The sequence below is a fragment of the Homo sapiens genome, chromosome 17, assembly GCF_000001405.40.
Source record: "Homo sapiens chromosome 17, GRCh38.p14 Primary Assembly".
Taxonomy (NCBI): domain Eukaryota; kingdom Metazoa; phylum Chordata; class Mammalia; order Primates; family Hominidae; genus Homo; species Homo sapiens.
In genome coordinates, this window is record NC_000017.11 from 39,133,268 (window position 1) to 39,154,764 (window position 21,497).

At 51.5% G+C, this 21,497-nt stretch overlaps 1 protein-coding gene and 2 non-coding genes across 19 annotated transcripts in view, besides 4 other annotated features; all 3 read right to left on the bottom strand.

Annotated features, from left to right (window-relative positions):
* Window positions 1-19,700, bottom strand: part of PLXDC1 (plexin domain containing 1) — an 89,655-nt gene extending 69,955 nt beyond the window's left edge. For 12 of the 17 annotated variants that reach the window (XM_047436428.1, XM_047436427.1, XM_047436426.1 and 9 more), the window contains exons 1-2: window positions 18,095-18,370; window positions 6,387-6,565 (exon numbers count right to left, since the gene is read on the bottom strand). In XM_047436428.1, coding sequence (XP_047292384.1) covers window positions 6,387-6,565; window positions 18,095-18,170 — 255 coding nt within the window. In that variant the 5' untranslated portion in view covers window positions 18,171-18,370. Of the gene's footprint in view, window positions 1-6,386; window positions 6,566-18,094; window positions 18,371-19,278; window positions 19,496-19,656 lie in introns of those variants that run through there. The other 5 variants (XM_047436434.1, XM_047436432.1, XM_047436435.1 and 2 more) reach the window with 4 other exon arrangements.
* Window positions 19,874-20,023: an enhancer, noted in NCBI's record as "active region_12090". NCBI's record gives its function as "activates an Ori minimal core promoter by ATAC-STARR-seq in GM12878 lymphoblastoid cells {active_cell/tissue: GM12878}" and the evidence as "EXISTENCE:reporter gene assay evidence [ECO:0000049][PMID:35858748]".
* Window positions 20,396-20,902: an enhancer, noted in NCBI's record as "H3K27ac hESC enhancer chr17:37309916-37310422 (GRCh37/hg19 assembly coordinates)". NCBI's record gives its function as "activates a minimal SCP1, AML or CMV promoter by ChIP-STARR-seq in primed H9 embryonic stem cells {active_cell/tissue: H9 hESC(primed)}" and the evidence as "EXISTENCE:reporter gene assay evidence [ECO:0000049][PMID:30033119]".
* On the bottom strand, window positions 20,467-20,538 carry TRC-GCA2-3 (tRNA-Cys (anticodon GCA) 2-3). The gene has a single exon. It is a non-coding gene; the product is annotated as a tRNA-Cys (tRNA).
* Window positions 20,903-21,407: an enhancer, noted in NCBI's record as "H3K27ac hESC enhancer chr17:37310423-37310927 (GRCh37/hg19 assembly coordinates)". NCBI's record gives its function as "activates a minimal SCP1, AML or CMV promoter by ChIP-STARR-seq in primed H9 embryonic stem cells {active_cell/tissue: H9 hESC(primed)}" and the evidence as "EXISTENCE:reporter gene assay evidence [ECO:0000049][PMID:30033119]".
* On the bottom strand, window positions 21,224-21,295 carry TRC-GCA2-4 (tRNA-Cys (anticodon GCA) 2-4). Its single transcript has one exon. It is a non-coding gene; the product is annotated as a tRNA-Cys (tRNA).
* Window positions 21,284-21,353: a silencer, noted in NCBI's record as "silent region_8448". NCBI's record gives its function as "represses an Ori minimal core promoter by ATAC-STARR-seq in GM12878 lymphoblastoid cells {active_cell/tissue: GM12878}" and the evidence as "EXISTENCE:reporter gene assay evidence [ECO:0000049][PMID:35858748]".

A 21,497-nucleotide genomic window follows, 5' to 3' on the forward strand; every position in this document is an offset into this window, starting at 1 on the left:
GGCCTAACAGGACGAGGGCAGGGTAGAGTTTGGGTATGGAGCCACCTGAGTCTCGGGCGTGTGCAGACACCCTGGTGTGTGTAAGCACTGACATTCTCTCATGTGTGTGGGAATCCAAGTTAGCAGAGTTGGGGTCCTTAGAGGCTCCTGTGTCCAGTGACTCACACCAGGGACAATCACACCAGGCAGAACTCTTCCCTTCTACAACCCTGTTTTTGGAGACTAGGATGTCGAAAACCCTACTTCCTTTGTTCATTCAAAGGAGTGCTTGTCATGGACCAGGCACAGTCCCGGCTCTCCTGTGCTTACATTCCAGGGGGAAGATAGGCAACAGACACCAATACATGGATCATTCTTTTCTATTTTTTTGAGGCTGGGTCTTGCTCTGTCACCCAGGCTGGAGTGCTGTGGCGCGACCATGGCTCACTGCAGCCTCCAACACCTGGGCTCACGCGATCCTACAGCCTCAGCATCCCAAGTAGCTAAGACTACAGGCGTGCACCACCATACCTAGCTAACTTTTTAAAAATGGATTTTTTGTGGAGATGGGGGTGTCACTGTGTTGCCCAGGCTGGTCTTAAACTCCTGGCCTCAAGCAATCCTCCCACCTCAGCATCCCGAAGTGCTGGGATTACAGGCGTGAGCCACTGTGACTGGCTGATACACATAATTTGATGCAGGAGGTGATAAGTAATACGGAGAAAAATAGGCCAGGTGCAGTGGCTCACGCCTGTAATCCCAGCACTTTGGGAGGTCAAGGTGGGTGGATCACGAGGTCAGGAGATCAAGACCATCCTGGCTAACACGGTGAAACCCCATCTCTACTAAAAATACAAAATAGCCGGGCGTGGTGGCAGGCGCCTGTAGTCCCAGCTACTTGGGAGGCTGAGGCAGGAGAATGGTGTGAACCTGGGAGGCGGAGCTTGCGGTGAACCGAGATCGTGCCACTGCACTACAGCCTGGGCGACAGAGCAAGACTCCGTCTCAAAAAAAAAAAGAAAAGAAAAGAAAAAAAAATAAAGTCTATTCCCTGTGCCCCAGTCACAGCCCTGCAGCTGCTGGAAAACCACCACATTGGCGGGGTGTGGTGGCTCACGTCTGTAATCCTAGCACTTTGGGAGGCCGAAGCGGGTGGATTGCCTGAGCTCAGGAGTTCAAGACCAGCCTGGGCAACACAGTGAAAGCCCGTCTCTACTGAAATACAAAAAATTAGCCGGGCTTGGTAGCATGTGCCTGTAGTCCCAGCTATTCAGGAGGCTGAAGCACGAGAATTGCTAGAACCCGGGAGGCAGAGGTTGCAGTGAGCTAAGATCATGCCATCACACTCCAGCCTAGGCCACAGAGCAAGACTTTGTCTCTAAAAAAAAAAAAAGAAAAAGAAAAAACAAAGAAAAGAAAAGAAAGAAAGAAAACAACCACATCTAGAACCTTCTCTGTACCAGGCTAAATACCCCAAACGCCTTCTACCATTCCTCCAGGGACAAGAGTGCAAGCCTCTTCACCACCCCAGCTGCCCTCCCCTGGACTCTGCTTGTGTCTGGGAAACCACTTGAAAGGGGAGCACAAGCCCCTCAATGGTAGTCAGGCCCAAGAAATAGCCCGCAGGACCCCCAGAGCCCCAGCCCCAGTCCCCAGGTTTCCATCATGCAGCTGGCTTTCCCACCTCCAGCCTTGGCAGCCACTTTATGCGCCTGACTCATCCTAGCCCACAAGAAGTGGGGATCCCCAAATCTTTTCCTCGTGAGCTGCTGCTAAACCACATCTCTCCCAACTCATTCTAAACTTAAATGCCAGGATTTATATTTATCCCAGTAGTTTCATCTGTTCCGAGGCAGATGTCATTCCAGCCTGCCCATGAGGCCTTCGGGTTCCTGACCTGACATCTGCACTCTCCAGATAAGTTATCCCTTAAAGCCTGGTCCTCCTGTCTTTAGGCAGAGCCGGGGACAAGCCCTATGGCTGTCAGAGGGACCTCCTTCCAGGTGGCCTTGCTCCTGTGTGGACCCTCGATGTGTAGCTGCAGAGGGGATCACAAAGCCCCTGAGATGGTGGAAGCCTCATGTTCTGACAATCGAGCGGGTCACCAATTATAAAATTGGTTTGAAATCTTATAGATCGGAAGTTCCTGGCCAGGCATGGTGGCTCCCGCCTGTAATCCCAGCACTTTGGGAGGCTGAGGCGGGTAGATCACCTGAGGTCAGGATTCTGAGACCAGCCTGGCCAACATGGTGAAACCCCATCTCTACTAAAAATACAAAAATTAGCTGGGCGTGGTGGCGCATGCCTGTAATCCCAGCTACTTGGGAGGCTGAGGCAGGAGAAACACTTGAACCTCGGAGCCAGAGGCTTCAGTAAACCGAGAGATTACACCACTCATTCCAGCCTGGGCAACTGAGCAACACTCCGTCTAAAAAAAAAAAAAAAAAAAAGTTCCCACACCTACATGACCATCAGAATCACATTTTTAAATCTCTGCAACTTCGCCAGGAACACATGGGGAACTTGAAACAACAACAACAACAACAAATTCCCAAAATCCATTGCCCCAGTGTTTCTGAACCAGTCCATCCAGGGTGGAGCCTGAGAATTTGTGGTGTTTTTTAAGCTCTGGCGTTATTGAATCCATACTGGCTCTTAATGAACCCCACTGTCCTTTCTGAACACCCACGAACAATTGCTTCCAGAAATCTAAGTCTCCATGGCTCTTTTCTGAAAGGTCCTCTTTGTGCAGACTGGGACATAATCCTTCTGACCTGTGTGTCTGGTCCTGAGCAGGTTATCAGTTATTCAACCAATGGCCCAATAAAGCTGTGGGGTCAGGGATGAACTGCCAGGTGTCTCCTTAATCAGGGGCCTCTCCTACTCTGTCCTTCCACTCCACCATCTCACCATGGCAGTCCTGCTCCTTGCTCTGCAGGATCAAGAAGACAGGGCAGATTGGGAAGGGAGTGATGCCATGTCCCCTGAAGTTCCACCTCAAACTAGGAGCCCAAACTAGGGTGAGGTAAGGAGGCACCTACCTGGGGTACAACATCTAAGATGGCACCAAAACTCAGGAATCAAGATAGAGAATACTTCAATGCAATATTTTAAAAAATCAAAATGAATACAAAAAAATAATATTTTGATGAACAGAATATCAAAAGTTTATTATGTTTTTTATAGAGGCAAGTTCTCGTTATGTTGCCCAGGCTGGTCTCCAACTCCTGGCCTCAAGGGATCCTCCCACCTCGAGCCTCCCAAAGTGCTGGGATTACAGGCGTGAGCCACCGTGCCCGGCCCAAAGTTTTAAAGAAATACAGGTTTAGTCATGGTTCCAAACCATTTCAGAGCCTGAGATACAAGGAAAAAAACAGTAACAGAAACAATGCAGAGAGCAGAGGGGAAAAAAATCTCAAAATTGTTCTAATATCCTCAGAGAGAGAAGATATTACATCCACAAAAAAAGAACAGGATGCTTTTTTGTTAAAGAAAAATAAATCTGAAAATAAAAAAGAGCTCTTAGAAATTAACAATACGATAGTAGAGAAAAAAATCAGTGACATTATGAAAATAAGATTGAGAAAATCCTCCAGAAAGAAGAACAACAAGCACACTAACAAATAAACAACAAAAAATGCAAAAGAGACGCACAGCAGAAGAGAGAAGAAAAAATTGAAGGATCACTTCCAGAAATGGACATCTAACCATGAGGAATTGTAGAAAGGAGAAATCTGAAAGAAATAAAGCAAAAACGCTTTCCAGAACTGACAAATGTAAGTCTCTTGATTGAAACAGTCCCCCAACGTCCAGCATGGCAAACAAAAACAGCCAGAGAAGGTCATGTCACTGCAATTTCAGAATGCTGGAGTTACAGGGAGTACCCTGAGAGCTTCCAGAAGTCAGGGGAAAACCGGCATACACAAAGGTCAAAAATAAGAATCACACCAAGCCTCTAACAGTGAATCAGAAGCCAGAAGACAATGGAGAGATGCCTTCAAACTTGTGAAAGAAAACTATTTTCAAGGCCTTGAGCGGTGGCTTACACTTGTAATCCCAGCACTTTGGGAGGCAGAGGCTAGCAAATCACTTGAAGTCAGGAGTTTGAGACCAGCCTGGCCAACATGGTGAAACCCCATCTCTACTAAAAATACAAAAAATTAGCTGGGCATAGTGGCACACACCTGTAATCCCAGTTACTCAGGAGGCTGAGGTAGAAGAATCGCTTGAACCCAGGAGGAGGAGGAGGTTGCAATGAGCCAAGATTGTGCCACTGCACTCCAGCCTTGGCGACAGAGCGAGACTCCATCTCAAAAAAAAGAAAAAGTAAATTATTTTCAATCTAGAATTCTATATTCAGCCAAACCACTAGTCAAATGAAAGGACAGAATAAAGATATCTTCAGACATGCACGTTCTCAAGGGAATTTTTCCCTCTGTGCAACCTTTCCCAGGAAGCTAAACAAACAAAAGGATGAAGCAGGAAAGAGAAGACACAGGGTCAAGGGAACAGGGGATCCAACACAGGAGGGAGACAAAGGGGTTCCCAGGACGAACAGAAAGGGAGGCCCCAGGATGGCACCCGTGGTACCAGCAGGCGAGTGGCTGGGCGGGATTGGAGTGCAGGACAGGAGAGAAGTTTCTCGGGGGGATAAAGGAACTGACAGGTTTGACCACCCTGAATTATCTTATTTTCTTTCTTTTATATTTTTTCGGAGACAGAGTCTTCTTCTTTTTCCCAGGCTGGTGAGGTCACAGCTCAGCACAGCCTTGACCGCCCAGGCTCAAGCAATCCTCCAGCCTTAGCCTCCCAAGTAGCTGGGACTACAGGGGCAAACCACCACATCCAGATAATTTTTGTTTTAATTTTTTAGAGACGTGGGTCTCACTATGTTGCTTAGGCTATTCTGGAACTCCTGAGCTCAAGCGATCCACCCGTCTGGGCCTCCCAAAGTGCTAGGATTACAGGTGTGGGCCACCATGCCCAGCCCACACTGGAATTACATTTGAGGCTAGGGGACGTGTAGGAAAATGTAGCTACGGTAGGCACAGAAAACTAAGTAAGCAAGGGCAGGAGAGGGGGCCAGGATCCAGGAAGAGCCAAAATCATACAAGAAAAGAAACAATGTTATGACCCTGCCTGGATTAGAAGTGAACACTATGTACATGATCGTCACAATCCACAACCGAGCACACGGATTGAACAGGAAGATTGGGCGGCAGGGTGAAAGGTTGCTCAGCGGGAGTATACAAAAGCCAAATCTCCCTGAGCCGCAGCAGGCCATGAATAGGTACGGCCTAAAACCAGTGCACAGAGAGGTAGCAGTACAGTATAAGCAAATCCCTTGGAAATATGGAAGTAAACTCCAGAGGAAACAGCCCAGACAGAGCCTTCTGAGAAAGGGAAGGGGGCAGGCCCCAGGGGAGAGGAGGGGCAGGACTGCTGTTTTGTTTTATGATTTTAGCACTATTTAACCTTTTTTTTTTTTAACTGTCAGCACATACTAATTTAAGAAAATAGTTATTAAAATATAAAATAAATCTATACTGAGAAGAAGGTCCTCTTGTTGCTTCTTGCGTCCTAAGAATCCACCCTCATCACTCCCAGCCGCAGGCACCTACACACACAGCCACAGGCACACTCACACTTACACATGCTCATCACAGACACCCACAAACAGCCCACAGTGACAGACAGGTACACATACATAATATACAAAATCATCTGACACAGGTGCGAACCCAGCGTCCATGACACACACACCCATTCCCAGAAACGCACAATTATATTAATAGATTCACCCCCAGACACACCGAGGCTTCCAAGAGCCTCCCGGAAACCCTGAGAGAAGAGCACTCCCTCCAGGCCTCTCCTCCCTGTGCCAGCACCCCAGAACTGCCCCAGGCCAAGGAGGTTGTCTCCAGGAGCTGCACCCTAATTGCTTTCTCTACTCAGCCCCCTGCTGAGTGCCCAGCCCTTAGGCTAAGCAGCCATTAATCCTCTTGCGCCCCAGTCTGTAGATGGGGCAGAAATGGGGTGGGGAAGGGCCCCATCTGGCAGCTGAGATGTGACTCATAAGGCCACTGTCAGCTTTTTCTTCCCTAAGTCATGGGAGAGTCCAGTTTCAGGAATGCTGTGGTCAGGCTGTGCATCCTGATACAATCCATTTGATGTCTCTGGGTCCAGGAGGGAGTAGGCAGCCTATGAAACGCTGAGATGCTGTGATTTTATGACCCAGTCTGGGCCCTGCTTCCATCCCCTCCCCGGGGATTCTTCTCTCCACCCTGTCCTCCGGGGCCAACCCCAAATGATATGTGATTTGCATGTAGGACAAGCACACCTGGGGCAGCTGGTGAGACCTCCCCCACCCCCACTTCGCTCCCCCTCCATGTTCCTCCAGCACTCACCACCACCCTGGTCCTGTTATCTGGCAGCGTGTCCATGGCCAGGGTGCCCCCACCCAGGTCCTGGCTCAGCTGGGTCCTGTCCGGCTCTGACACATGCCCAGGGCTCTCTCGGGCTCTCCGGTTCCAGCCCCGCACGGTCCCTTTGGCAGCCCATCCAGAGCCTGGGCCCTCATCGTGACCTGGGAGAAGGGGACAGAAACCTGAGTGCCAGCAGTCCGGAATGAAGATCAGGAGGGGAATCCAGCCCAGTTATTCTGCAAGGGCCCCAACACCATGCCACTGTAGAATTTGCAGACACTTGACTGACTACCAGGACAGGAGACACCCAATGTGTACTGAGAGTCACGTGCCCAGCTCCAGGCCAAGCACTTCGCACATATCCTTTTAATCCTCATGCCAGCTCTCCGCAGTAGTTAGGATGTTCTCCATTTTGCAAACAAGAATCAGAGGCTCAGAGGTTAAAAGTCACGCAGTGGGTTAGGCATGCAGGTAAGTTTCAAACCCAAGCTGATCTGCCTCCAAAGGGTGATTATTCTCAACCTCAGCTATACACTGGAGTCACCTGGACAGCTTCAAAAGTTCCTGATGTCTGGGTCCCACCCTAGAGATCTCTTGTAACTGGTCTATGGTGTAGCCTGGGCATTCAATTTCTTTTTCTTTTTCTTTTTTTGAAATGGAGTCTCGCTCTGTCACCCAGGCTGGAGTGCAGTGGCCCGAGCTCCGCTCCCTGCAAGCTCCGCCTCCAGGGTTCACGCCATTCTCCTGCCTCAGCCTCCCGAGTAGCTGGGACTACAGGCGCCCGCTACCGCGCCCAGCTAATTTTTTGTATTTTTAATAGAGACGAGGTTTCACCGTGTTAGCCAGGATGGTCTCAATCTCCTGACCTCGTGATCCACCCGTCTCGGCCTCCCAAAGTGCTGGGATTACAGGCGTGAGCCACCGCGCCTAGCCTCGATTTCTTAAAAGAGCCTCAGGGGAGATTTTGAGGAGTCTTGGACTTAACTCTGCAGGCAAGGGTGAGAACCATTGCCGTTGAGCCTTCCAAACCAGTTTCTTATTTCTCTGGCAGAAATGGCACATAATCCTATTTCCCAGTGGGGTCAGGGGACTAGAAGCCAGAGTTCTTTTCGTTCAGGGCTTCTCAACCTCGGTACTATTGACATTTGGACTGGATAATTCCTTTTCCAATTTTTTTATTGTGGCAAAATACACATAACAAAATTTGCCATCTAACCATTTCCAAGTGTACAATTCAGTAACATTAAATACATTCCTAATGTTGTATGACCATCACCACCATCTATCTGCATAACTCTTTTCACCTTGTAAAACTAAAATTCTGTACCCGTTAAATAATAACTCCCTATTCACCCCTGTTATTTTATTTTATTTAAGAGATGGGGCCTTGCTCTGTCACCCAGGCTGGGGAGTAGTGGTGCGATCATAGCTCACTGCAGCCTCCAACTGCTGGGCTCATGCGATCCTCCCACCTCAGCTTCCTAAGTAGCTGGGACTATAGGCATGCGCCACCATGCCCAGCTAATCTTTTTACTTTTTATAGAGACAGGGTCTCACTATTTTGTTCAGGGTGGTTGGTCTTGAATTCCTGGTCTCAAGCAATTTTCCTGCCTTGGCTCCCAAGGTGCTGGGATTACAGATATGAGCCACAGCGCGCAGCCTGTATCTATGATTTTGACTACTCTAAGTATCTCATATAAATGGCATCATACTATATTTGTCTTTTTGTGATTGGCTTATTTCACTTAGCATAATAAATTCAAGGTTCATTCATGTCGTAGCATATGGCAGAATTGACTTCCTTTTGAAGGCTGAATAATATTCCATTGTGTGGATATACCACATTTTGCTAACCCACTCAACTATCAATGGATGTCTGTTTTGCTTCCACGTTTTAGCTATTGTGAACAATGCTGCTACAAACATGGGTGTACAAATATCTCTTTGAGACCTGGCCTTCAATTCTTTTGGGTATATACCCAGAAGCGGAATTGCTGGATTGTATGGTAATTCTATTTCTAATTTTTTGAGGAATTGTCATACTGTTTTCCATATAAAATGTTTTCCATGTAAAATGACTGGACCATTTTACATTCCCACCAACCGTGCACATGGGTTCCAATCTCTCCACATTCTTGCCAATACTTGTTATTTTCTGTTTTTTTTATAGTAGCCATCCTAACAGGTATGAGGTTATATCTCATCGTTTTTATAAATTGGCATTTCCCTGATGATTAGTGATGCCGAACATCTTTTCATATGCTTGTGGGCCATTTGTATATCTTCTTTGGAGAAATGTCTATTTAAGTCTTTTTCCTGTTTTTAAATTGGATTGTTGGTTGGACTGGATAATTCATTGTTATGCGGGAACTGTCCAGTGCTCTGTAAGATGTTTAGCAGCCGCAGCCTTGGCCCCTGCTCACTAAATGCCAGTAGCACCACGCTCCTCCCCATCCCAAGCTGTGACAATGAAAAACGTCTCCAAACATTGCCAAATATCCCCTGGGGAATAAAATTAACCCCCCCTTGCCCCATTGAGGGAGGGGTAATTTTTTACTGTTTTACTCCTATCACTACCTAGATACTGTCTAGGATGGCAAATAGGTTTCATATCACATGCCATCTGCAATCCATTCGTGACAGCCAGAGGCACTCCAACTGAGAATGCAAAGGCTCCTCTTGTATTTAGCAGGAAGGACTGTGAAGATCAATAAGCAATGTCTGCCATGGGCACAGGATTGGAAAGTGACTACACACAGGCCATTTCGCGGCCATGCGAACCTCCATTTCTGGAGGTTGCGAAATGGCTTTAGGTTCCATGATCTCCTCTCCAGTTCCCTCTAGGTTGTTAAATGCATGCTTTTTTTGAGACAGGGTCTCACTCTAGCATGCAGGCTGGAGTGCAGTGGCACAATCACAGCTCACTGTACGCTTGACCTCTCAGGCTCAAGCAATCCTCCCACCTCAGCCTTCTGAGTAGCTGGTACTACAGTTGCATGCCACCACACCCGGCTAGTTATTATTATTTTATTTTGTATTTTTCGTAGAGGCTGGGTTTCACCATGTTGCCTACACTGGCCTTGAACTCCTGGGCTCTAGCGGTCCTTCCACCTTGGCCTCCCAAAGTGGTGGGATTATAAGCGTGAGCCACTGCACCAGGTCTGTTAAATTAGTTCTAACAAAAGGCCGGGCGTGGTGGCTCACACCTATAATCCTAGCACTTTGGGAGGCTGAGGTGGGTGGATCACCTGAGGTCAGGAATTCGAGACCAGCCTGGCCAACATGACGAAACCCCGTCTCTACTAAAAATACAAAAATTAGCCGGGCATGGTGGCGGGCACCCATAATCCCAGCTACTCGGGAGGCTGAGGCAGGAGAATTGCTTGAACCTGGGAGGCAGAGGTTGCAGTGAGCCGAGATTGCGCCACTGTACTCCAGCCTGGACAAAAAAGCGAAACTCCTTCTCCAAATAAATAAATAAACAACACAAAAACCATCCTTTTCCACTTCAAAAAGATTTATGCCCCCCAAAGCTGTGGCTTTTATTGTCATTCTAATGGTCACACCTACTATGGATGTATATATGAGAACAGACCATCAGATAGGTGGATCTGACATTCCCCACCTATGACCCTCTTCCATTTCAGGCCCACCCTGTGTCAGATACCTGTCTCAACCTCTGCCTTCCCCCAGCCCACTCCCCAGAGCTCCTGGATGTGGCTCTCCCTCTCCTAGAGCACCTACGTGTGCGACTATGTGCCTATCTCCCTGGTAGATTTGAGTTCCCCCAGGATTCTCTCCACCTTCTTCAAATTTGGCATGTCCAGCAAACAGCAGGTGCTCCATCACTGCAGAATTGAGGACGCAGTGCATAGGGTAGCTCCTGGGAGCCAGCAAGGACAGAGGTTGAGACCAGGCTTGGCCAGGCCCAGGCCTGGGGCTGAGGCCAGAACTCCGCTGTGGGGCCCTGCTTTGTCATTAGACATTGTATCCAATTAAGTCATTCTTGGCTGCTGGCGCCTACTGGACCCTTGCCGGCCCCCTCTCACTTCTCTGCCCCTAATAGCAACCAGATGCTGCTGGAGCACGTGGGGAGGAGGGCAGTCCCCAGACCCCTTCCCCAAGATGCCCACTGGCTGCCCACAGATGGACATGAGTCCAGGGCTGGGAAGGCAGCCTGCCCACTGCCCAGGCCCAAGCCAGGGCTGTCTGGTCTCTCTTGGGTGGGGCCCACAGCTGCTTCTGGAGACAGAGCTGTTTGTGCTGGGCTGGTCTGCCCAGCTCCCCAGGTCTTCCTGCAAGCAGCCCTGGGGCCTGGGCAGGAGCCAGAACAGGATAGAGCGGGTAGTGAACAAGTGGAGGGGCTCAGCGGCCCAGAGAGGAGTGTTGGGGATCTTCAGGATTCACAAACCTGGAGCCGAGACAGGAGGCGGGATGGTGGAGGCCTGCAGCCCGGGGAAGGACAGGGAGGGGGCCCAGCTGGGGGTGGCCAGGGAAGAGACACTGGGTTGACCTCCACACCCAGTCTTGCCACTCACAAGTTATGGGACCTTAGCCCCATCAGTTTTCCTCTCTAATCCTCAGCTCCCTAGTGACTCAAATGGATTTGACGATGGTGCCCACAGTACAGGCTGCCATAAGCGTCAAGTGAGAAACACAAATGAGGTTTTATAGAGAGCTCAGGCCAGGGTAAGAGGTAAAGAGTCCATGAAAGAGGGCAGGGCGAGGGATGGAGAGGGAGCTTGACCAGGACCCTGGCCTACCCTGGCCTAGCCCTGAATCTTACTCTTCCAACCCATACTACATCTGTTTCCTGGCCACCCTTCCTTCCCTGTTGCCTGGGACAGGACGTCATCCCCACGACTCATGAAAGAAGCCAACACAGCTGGTTGCTCACGTGTATGTGCAGGGGCCCACGTGCCTGTGCACATGCCCACAAAGACTTTCCTGAAAGCCTCGGCCTTCCCGTATGTGCTCACACACAAGTTGGACACCTGCCCAACCCTCAGCCACTCCTCACCCCACCTGCCTTCCACTGGAGAGAGCTCCATTTTCCCTGGACCCGTTCCCCGCCTGCATGTGTTGCCAAGGAGCTTCCGGAACACAAGCTGTTCATTCATTGATTCACTCACTCATGGCCCCAAGTAGTGTGCAGTCCAGTGGGATGCCATAATAATCACCCTAGTAATAAAAATGATAGCTGACTTTCAGAGAATGCTGCTCTGTGCTAGCACTATTCCAGGGGCTTTAAACACATCCACCCCCTTAATCCCCACAATAATCCCATGAAATAGTTACTAGTTTAAAATCCATTTTACAAATGGAGAAACTGAGGCACAAAGACGTTAAGGAACCTCCCAAGGTCACAGAACCAGTCCATGGCAGGATCTGAACTCAGGCAGGCTGGCTCCAGAGCCTACTCAGAACCACAGAAAGTGCAGTAAAAAGTGACCGACAATCCCCACTGTTTCCCAGGGTGCAGGGGCAGCCCCGGGGTGGGGCTGGCATGTGGGCTAGGTTCTTGGAGGGCCCTACTCAGGCTGCCATTGGGCCTGAACCTGAGAGCTTCCCTGGGAGACTGTGTCCCCCAGCATGCAGGGTACAGCCCAGCAGTAGCGTCCCAGTCCCCTCAGCTGGCACTGGTCCCATTTCAGGGCAAGGGGGAATGGGGCTGACCTCAGGAGGCCAGGTTGTGCGGCCCCAGAGCCTGGGCCAAGCCATCCTCATCTCACCCAACACCCAAACTTGGCATCCCAGCCCTGGGCCACCCCATAGCTCAGGTTACCACAGCCTCTATCCTGGGTCAGCCTCCACCCTTAATGCCCTAGAGCTAATCTCCCCCACCATAGCCAGGACAAGCCACCTAGAGGGTGAACTTGATTCCATCTCTCTCCGGCTTCCAGCTCACCTGTCCCTGGCTCATCCTGTCCCACAGGCTGAGAAAAAGAGGAGAAGAGAAAGGAGGCGAGGGGAGGGGAGGGAAGGGAGAGCATCTTTAAATGCCCTGAGTACCTGAGATACACCGAACTGGAAACACCCTTCCCTTGGAACTTCATTGTAGTATCAGAGCAGTAAAACAACACAGGTTTGGAATCAGACAAGCTAGACACTGAACCCTGAATCTACCACCTACTAACTACAACATTGGACAAATTACACACACTCTCTAAGACTCAGTTTCCTCATCTGTGAGATGGGGCTGATAAAACATAAACTTGGTAGGTTTGACACTTTAACAAAATCATATACACAGAGCACCCAGCAAGTCGCCCTGCCTTCCCTGGGTTTCACATGAGGACTGAAACCGTCTTCTCAGGGTTAACAAGAATTACATGCCGGGTTCTGGGCAGAAGTATAGGAGTAATTAAGCATTAATCAGGCTGCACTTCGGCCCATTCCTTTTTTTTTTTTTTTTTTGAGAGGGAATCTCGATATGTCACCCAGGCTGGAGTACATTGGTGTGATCTCAGCTCCCTGCAACCTCCACCTCTCGGGTTCAAGCAATTCTCCTGCCTCACCATCCCAAGTAGCTGGGACTACAGGAGTGCGCCACCACACCCAGCTAATTTTTATATTTTTAGCAGAGATGGGGTTTCACCATGTTGGCCAGGCTAGTCTTGAGCTCCTGACCTCAAATGATGCTCCCGCCTTGGCCTCCCAAAGTGCTGGGATTATAGGCATGAGCCACCACGCCTGGCCAGCTTTTATTTAAGAATTGTTTAAGGCCAGGTGCAGTGGCTCATGCCTATAATCCCAACACTTTGGGAGGGTGAGGTGGTGGGATCACTTGAGTCCAGGAGTTCGAGACCAGACTGGACAACATAGCAAGACCCCATCTCTACTAAAATTTTTTTTAAAGTCTGGACATGGTGGCTCATGCCTGTAGTCCCAGCACTTTGGAAGGCCAAGACAGGAGGATTACCTGAGCCCAGGAGTTGGAGATCAGCCTGGGCAACATGGCAAGACCTTGTCTTTTTTATAATAAAAAAAGGTATTATAAAATTTAATTTATTATTAATAATAAATTTTAAAAAATTAGCCAGATGTGGTGGTGCATGCCTGCAGTCCCAGCTACTCAGGAAGCAGAGGCAGGAGGATCACTTGAGCCCAGGAAGTTGAGGCAGCAGTGAGCTATGATCACACCACTGCACTCCAGCCTGAACAACAGAGTGAGACCCTGTCTCAAAAAAGAAAAAAAAAAAAGAAGGATTAAGATGGTTTTCGGATCCTGAATTCCAGCAGAAGGGCCAATTCGAAGACCCTCAGACAGGAAATGATTTTTTTTTTTTTTTTTTTTTTTTTGAGACGGAGTCTCGCTCTGTCACCCAGGCTGGAGTGTAGTGGCACGATCTCGGCTCACTGCAACCTCTGCCTCCCGGATTCAAGCAATTCTCCTGCCTCAGCCTCCCAAGTAGCTGGGATTACAGGCATGTACCACCACGCCCAGCTAATTTTCTTGTGTTTTTAGTAGAGACAGGGTTTCACCATATTGGGCAGGCTGGTCTCGAACTCCTGACCTTGTGATCCACCCACCTCGACCTCCCAAAGTGCTGGGATTACAGGCGCGGGCCACCGCGCCCAGCCGAGGAACTGATTTAACATGAGAATGCAGTTTCTTTATTTCTTCATGCACTCTTCAACCAATTAACAATTCCCACACGTTGGCCACCCCACCCCAAACCCCATAAAACCTCTAGCCCCAAATGCTGCCCCACGATGATGAAACTCTTTCTCTGCTGCCCCCTCGGTGTTGGTGTGTCAACTTGCTGCACCTTGGGCAACACACCAGTTAGGGTCACAGGACCAGCTTTCAGAGGGGCCAGGGAAGGCTCCAAACCCTAAACTGAAATCCTGCCTCCAAGTTACAAAGCCCCTAACCATACCCTCTCCCTTTCCTCTGGCAGGTAGGGACCCACTGAGGACCCTCACCTGGGGAGAGGGAAGGAGTCAAAGGAAGTGCAGGGAGGGACCACCAGGTAGCAGAAGGGAAGAGGGAGGGAGGGAAGGGGAGGGGAGGGGAAGGGAGGGACAGCAAGAAGAGTTCAGCTCTCTATGTGTGTCCCTTGAGGGGAGAGTCTGGGATCTGTGCCACCTCTGATATACTCACTCAGTCACTCACTCATTCATTCAATACACTTTTATTGAGTCGCAGGCACTGTGCTGGGTGCTGGGGGGACACAAGCCCTGTACCCAGGAAGAGTCTAGTTTTCTTCATGGAGACATACAAAATGAATCATTTGGTAAGGGCTATGAAGAAAATCAGACAGAGGAAAGGGTTGGGGTTGTTGCTACTCTACACAGAGCCATGAGGTGGGGCTCTCTGAGGAGGGTCCCCTTGAGCTGATTAAGACCTGAATGAGAAGAAGCCAGTTAGTTATCTGTCGATCGGAGGGGACGGCAGCTGGAGTGGGTTAAGGGGTGAATCTGGGGAGAGCTAGAGAAGATGGTGGGATGAGGGAGGGGCTGCCTGACCTCCATAAGTTCGCATTTTAGTCTCAGGTTGTTGGAGCCCTAGAGACAATCTGGTCCAACCTCCTTCCCTCCTTTTTTTAAAAAAAGATGGGACCTCGTTATGCTGCCCTCACTATGTGGCATGATCATAGCTCACTGCAGCCTCCAGTTCCTGGGCTCAAACGATCCTCCTGCCTCAGCCTTCCGAGTACCTGGGACTACAGGCGCACACCGCCATGCCCAGCTAATTTTTTATTTTAATTTTAATTTTTTTTTTTGACAGAGTCTTACTCTGTTGCCCAGGCTGGAGTGCAGTGGTGCGATCTCAGCTCACTATAACCTCTGCCTCTCGGGTTCAAGCTATTCTCCTGCCTCAGCTTCCTGAGTAACTGAGATTACAGGCATGCACCACCACGCCTGGCTAATTTTTACTAATATACTAATATTAATAATATTAATAACAATACTAAATATACTAATTTTTGTATATTTAGTAGAGACGGGGTTTCACCATGTTAGCCAGGCTGGTCTCAAACTCCTGACCTCAGGTGATCCGCCGGCCTCGGCCTCCCAGAGTGCTGGGATTACAGGCATGAGCCACCCTGCCTGGCCTAAATCATTTATAGACATGGGGTCTCACTATTTTGCCCAGGCTGGTCTCAAACTCCTGGTCTAAAGCTATCCTCCCACCTCAGCCTCCCAAAGTGTTAGGATCACAAGCATGAGCCACCGTGACTGGTGCAAGCCCCCATTTTATAGACGGGGAAACCTTCCTCAGAGAAAGGAGGAAGCTGTCAGGGTCACCAGTAGTTGGTATTGAGCCTGGCCTCCTGCAGGACTCCCAGGCCAGGATGCCAACTCTCGCTGCCTCTTCTTTATCTGTCATATGCACCTCTGGTTCCATCTGACCAGACTGTCAGTTCCCTGGGCCCCTGCTCTGCACCCCAAGGCCATTTTCCTGTCTGTCATCCTGGTCTCCCCTGCTGTCTGACTCTGTCTTTGGGCCACTCATCTCTCTGCTGCTGCTGTTCTAATGATAGATGAGGTTTCAAGGCTCTACCAAACAAGCCTGTCCATCAGGAGCGAGGGGAGATCTCAGCTACTTCCCAAGGCCCCCCACCAGCCCCACAAACCCAGAGCCTTGGGGAAGGATGCTAGCATCTCTTCAGGTCCTGCTCCCAGCTGCCCTTCCACTGGTCACAACAACTCCGCCATCAATCAGGTCAGGCTGCCCCTCCTTAGCAACTCTCCCCCAGAACGTCCTTCTCCTACATCTGGCCTCCCCAGACACCCGCTTCCTCCTCATAGGTCCTCCTGCCTGTGAAATCCCACCTGGCCTGTGAAAAGGGCACCGGACTGGGAGTCAACAGCTGCCGCCTCTGGCTTCTTACAGATTCCTTAAGTCTAACCTCTATCCCTCCTGCTGCAGAAAAAGTGCATTTCTCCTGGCTCAATCTCTGTCAAAGCCAAGAAGACAGGATAGCCTCTACTTAGAGAAGTGATTCAAGTCTCTGCCTGCCCCACTCTTCCTGGTCTCCTCAACCGTCTACTACCCCAACCCTACTCTGAAGGGGCCGCCCTCAGCCAGGCCCGGGTCTGGCCACTATCTCCCAGCCCATCCTTGTTACCTCCCAATTCCCCCTTCCCCAGCCCTCTCCGTGGTTCACACAATCCAGCCAAAGGTTCAGATCCTCCCCTCATAAACTCTGTTACACCCAGAGTTCAGAAGATCACACCAGGTTGAGGATTCAAAGGAGCCCAGAAATTATTCATAACATATCCAACTCTCTCCTGTTTACCTTGATTTTTTTAAAGTATCAGTTACCCATAAAGACCCTAACAAATATGAAAAGGAAAGGCAATTATAAAAGATCCTTCATTATTCCACGCACAAGAGTCAAAGATTTTGCCAACAGCCTCACTTTATAAATGCAAAAATAGGTCCAGAGAGAGAAAGTAACTTGTCTAAAGTCACACAGCAAGTGAGATGGCGGGACTAGAAGCCACGTCTCTGGCCACCCTCTGTGTGGTCTCCCTGAAAATTGGTGGTTCTCACCAGCAGCTTCTCGGTTCGTCAGCTCCACTGCCCTCTGCCCATACTTCCCACTGTCAGCCTCCTTCCCCTCCCACCCCCAACATACTCTTCTTCTCAATAGGGACCCAGGTCTGTCTCAGCTACATGCTGGGACCATTAAAGTCAAGAACATTGCCACTGACACTGTGCCTGGTGCCAGCACACTCCTGAGACACAGCAGGTCAACCACAGCACTCACCTCAACAGCGCCTCCCTCACCCCACCTGAGGGGCACCCATGCCAATGATGCACAGGTATCTATCTTCTTAATCATCTCTGCTGAGGGGCCAGGCTGCAAATTACCCATCTCCCCAACCCCAGAGAAAGTCTAGGTGCTTAGGGGAGAACAGAGACTATGAAAATTATACCATGAGGGATTCCAGGTAGATCTCAGAAAGGACTTCCAGGTGGGAGAGATGAGTTTGGAGAACTGGTAGGGGGGAAGAGGAGTGTGCAGAATGGGACGCCTCCCTCCACCCCCTACCCCAGTGCCCCATCTAGAGCCAGAGTAGCTGAAAGCCAAAGGCTGCCAGGGCAAATGGGAGCAGGTGTGAGGAGGGGGACTCTTGAGGCTGGGGGTGCAGAAGCAGCAAGTTGCTTCTTCCTGGGCCCACTGCCTCTCTACTGACACCAAATAGGCAAGGGAAGGTGACCGAATGGCTGCTGCCTTCCCAGGCAGAGACGCTGTGTCCCCACCATCCCCCTGGCTGCTCCCACCTATCCCTAGCCTGGATCAGCTTTGGGGTCGGGGGTGTGGCAGAGAAGAGGAAAAGAAGGCATGGCTGGGGCAGGGGCCTCCCCAGGCTCCCATCTCATCAGAATTCAGCCTTGCCTGGGGTGATCAGGGGTCCTGATGACTCTCCCGCTGTCCCCTTTCAGAGCCCATGGCCACATAGAGCCCCCTCTCCTAAGGTCCCTCCAGTATCCTTCCAGGAGAGAAGGAGAGGTCCGGGCATCGGTGTCTCCACCGTCACTCACACACCCTATGTGTTTGGGAAAGTGGGGTCCCTATCCACCTGCCCACAGCCCACAGCTCTCCTGGCCTCCTGCGGACAATGCCCCCCTCGCGGACATCGCCAGGCCGTCCACACCTGCCCATGCCCACACCTGACTGCCCGTCCCTCCCCGCCCCCGGCCCACCCGGGCCGGCTCCCGCCAGTCCTACCTGCTCCGGGCTGGGGGCTCAGCGCCCGGGCAGCCTCCCTGAGCACCAGCACCAGGAGCCAGAGCTCGCCTCGCATGGTGGGTGCCCGGACCTGCCCCCGGCCTGCTTGCTGCCCCGGTCCTGACGAGGGAGGGGGCCCTGGCTCAGGCTGCGGCCGCGCGGTCCCCGGGGCTGGCGGAGGGGCGGGCGGCGAGGAGACGGCGGAGCGCGGGGCCGGGCGAGCCGGCAGGAGCGGCGAGAGCGCGAGCGGAGCTGGAGGCTGCGGCCTCCGGGAGCAGGCGGGGAGCTGGGGGGGCCGCTGGGTCGGTGGGGGTGGGGGGGAGCTGGGGCAGGGGGCGGGGCGGGGGGCGCGGCGTCGTTGGGGGCTCTCCCGGCGCCTGCCCTCAGCCCTAACGGAGCGCTCCCCTAGAGCTCTGCAGCCGCTCCCAAGGCAAGGGGTGCAGAGTAGGGGACAGGGCGGGAGCCCCTCGGGCTGAGAGAACCCCTAGAAGCATCAGCCGCCCCGCGCTCCTCACTGAGCTCCTGGCTCCCTTTCCCTCCTCCGTTCCGCCGGGAAAGCTGCAGAGAGAAGGCCCGAGGACTGGACCCCTGGAAGGGACAGGCGCCCCATCCCTGGGTCACGGGCCCCTGACTGTTCCCCGCCCCCAGCTCCTCCAAGCTCTGCGACTTCCTGAGCTGTTCTTCGGAATTCTGTGCGTCTCTGATGCTTTGTCCTCCAGCCCCCACCCCCAGAAATCTCCCCCTGCAGCAAAGACCCCCAGCTTTTCTCCCCAAGAGGGGCCTGAATCCCACCCCCCTTCCATGACTCCACCTTATCCCTCCACCCCCCATTTCCAGCACCGATTTGCCCCCCAAGCCTAGCAGACGTGAGGGTGGAGGGGGCCTGGCTACCCCTTACTCTGCAACAGTCTGGACCCCTCCCCACGAGTAGGTAACCCAGGCCTCCTGCCTCTCTGGGGCCTCCAGGCCTACTCAGGGCCAGACCCAATCAATCTTCAGAGCCAGCCCCAGACGAGGAAATGGCTCACCCCACCTGTCACCACCTTCTGACAGGCTCTGGGGATAGATAATCTTTTTATTTTTTCTTCCAGGACAGAATAAAAATACCCGCAATGTAGGATATTTAATAGACGGCAAGGAATCAGGTCAGGACACGAAGATGCCTCTTCCCTCCCCTGACCTACTTCGTTCTTGTGACGGCAAGGAGCTGGGGCGCTGGAGAGTGGGAGACGGGGTGAGGGGGCATCCTGGCTTCTAGTGGGCTGGGGCCTAGGGACTAGAAAACCGCGGAGAGGAAGGGTGCGAACGCTGAGCGCCATTGGAGAAATTTTCCAGGAGGAGGGATATGGGCGGGGACAGGAGAAGGTACACTGTGGGCTGGAAGAGACGGATTCCGTGGCACTGAGGTTAAAAAAAAAAAAAAGAAAAGAAAAGAAAAAAAAACACCTAAGAAAGGAAACAACTAAAGGCTCTCTAATCTCTTAGAACGCCGGTTCCTCCTTCCGCCGGGCCCAGAGTCCCAGAGACTACCTCCTCCAGCCCTAAACCCAATGTCCCCTTACCGTGGAACAAGGCAAGGCCGGTCTGTAAATTCTTCTTGATGTCTAATTTAAATCCCAACTTGGCGGACTCTCAAACAGAATCAGATAGGCAGCTACCTCCAGCTGCAGCTACTTGCTGCCCTCAAGTGGCCACGTGACGAGCCACAACCCTCTTGTCCTGCGGGTTTCCTCTTTCCCCAGCCTGCCCACCCCCTGTCTCCGACCTCCTGCCTTCCTCGAGGTCAAGGTGAGAAGTCTCGGGACGGATTCCAGCTCCAGCCCCGGCGTCTTTGCACATTCCTCCATCTGGGGTACCTCGTGGTCTGTCTTACAAGAAGAGCTCAGGCTGAAACATAAACTTGTAAATAGTAGAAGCAAATGTGTAAATTTTAACGTAAGCCTCTAGAACTTGAGATCGTAATCACCTGCAGGGTGTGTGTGTGTGTGTGTGTGTGTGTGTGTGTGTGTGTGTGTGTGTATTTTGTTTGTTTTTTGAGACAGGTTCTCGCACGTTGCCTAGGCTGGAGTGCAGTGCTGCGATCATAGCTCACTGCAGCTTCCAACTCCTGGACTCAAGCGATGGGGAGCGTATATGAAAACACAGATTTCTGGACTCCACCCTCAAGTTTCTAATTCATTAGGTCTGGGATGAGGCCCGAGCGTACCCAGGTAATGCTGCTGGTCCCAGGACCACATTTTGAGAGCCACTGCTGTTGAATCCCCAGTTCCTTTCAGTCCCTCACTGCTCCTCGTCTGCCAGTAGGAGTAAAAGCAAACAGCTTAGGAAAAATCGACACCCAGGACAAAAACAGTATCTCGAAAAGGCCAAAGAGGGGGCACCCGGATTTGAACCGGGGACCTCTTGATCTGCAGTCAAATGCTCTACCACTGAGCTATACCCCCTCTGCCGGCAAACCGACCGCACGTAGTCGTTTAGTGGTATTGCTGCGCAGGCGCTGTGTGGCGTTCCCGAAGGGAAGTGGAAGTGGGGTAAGACGTTTACAAGAGATGGAAAAAATACAACTCCCAGAAGAATTACTCACTTGGAAGCAGGGGTTGTTCCCTGAAGCTCTGAGCTGAAGATCCCCACTGGCAGTATAAGAAAATATATTCCTGGGGTGTGGAAGGAGAAGTCTCTCGAAATATTTCACTTCGGGGGCGTCCCACTCTCCTGCCCTGCAGAAGACCCCTTGCCACGTCTCGGAGCTTCTTTCTCCCTCCCACATGCTCACGCGGCTTCTCCCGACCTGTCTTCCCCAGCCCAGCCCTTAGAAACTCAGCCTCCTTCCCGCCAAGAAAGAGCCAGGCTGACCTGGGGGTGCGCTCGCCTCCGCCCTGCCATTGCGAGGTTGAGCCACCCGTACCGTGTTCCAAGGGTCAGCCCGGAGCTCCTCGCCCTCACTCGCATTGCATTCTACCCTGGGTACACACACAGGCTGAGCCACTGGCAGGGGCCAGGACTCCATCCTCACTCGCCTGCGAAAGCAAAAAGGGTGGCAGGGCTCGAGACTCCCTCCCATTCCATCTGTGCGGGAACTCTTTAGAGGACCTCCGGAGACCAACAAAACGAGGTAACTCCGGAGCACAGAGGGGGCACCCGGATTTGAACCGGGGACCTCTTGATCTGCAGTCAAATGCTCTACCACTGAGCTATACCCCCGCCACGCCACTACGTTGTCATTAGAGTTAATTTCTATGGAATAGGGGTGTGGTCTTCATTTTCCCTTAAAGTTTTAATCTGAGGGTTGCGTCGGGATACCTACTGAAAAAAACACAAAATACAATGGGAATGGCTAGAACTCCTGAGTTCTTCCTTCATAGCCACGCTTTCGGAAAACCAACTAGATTAAGGAATCTTGGGC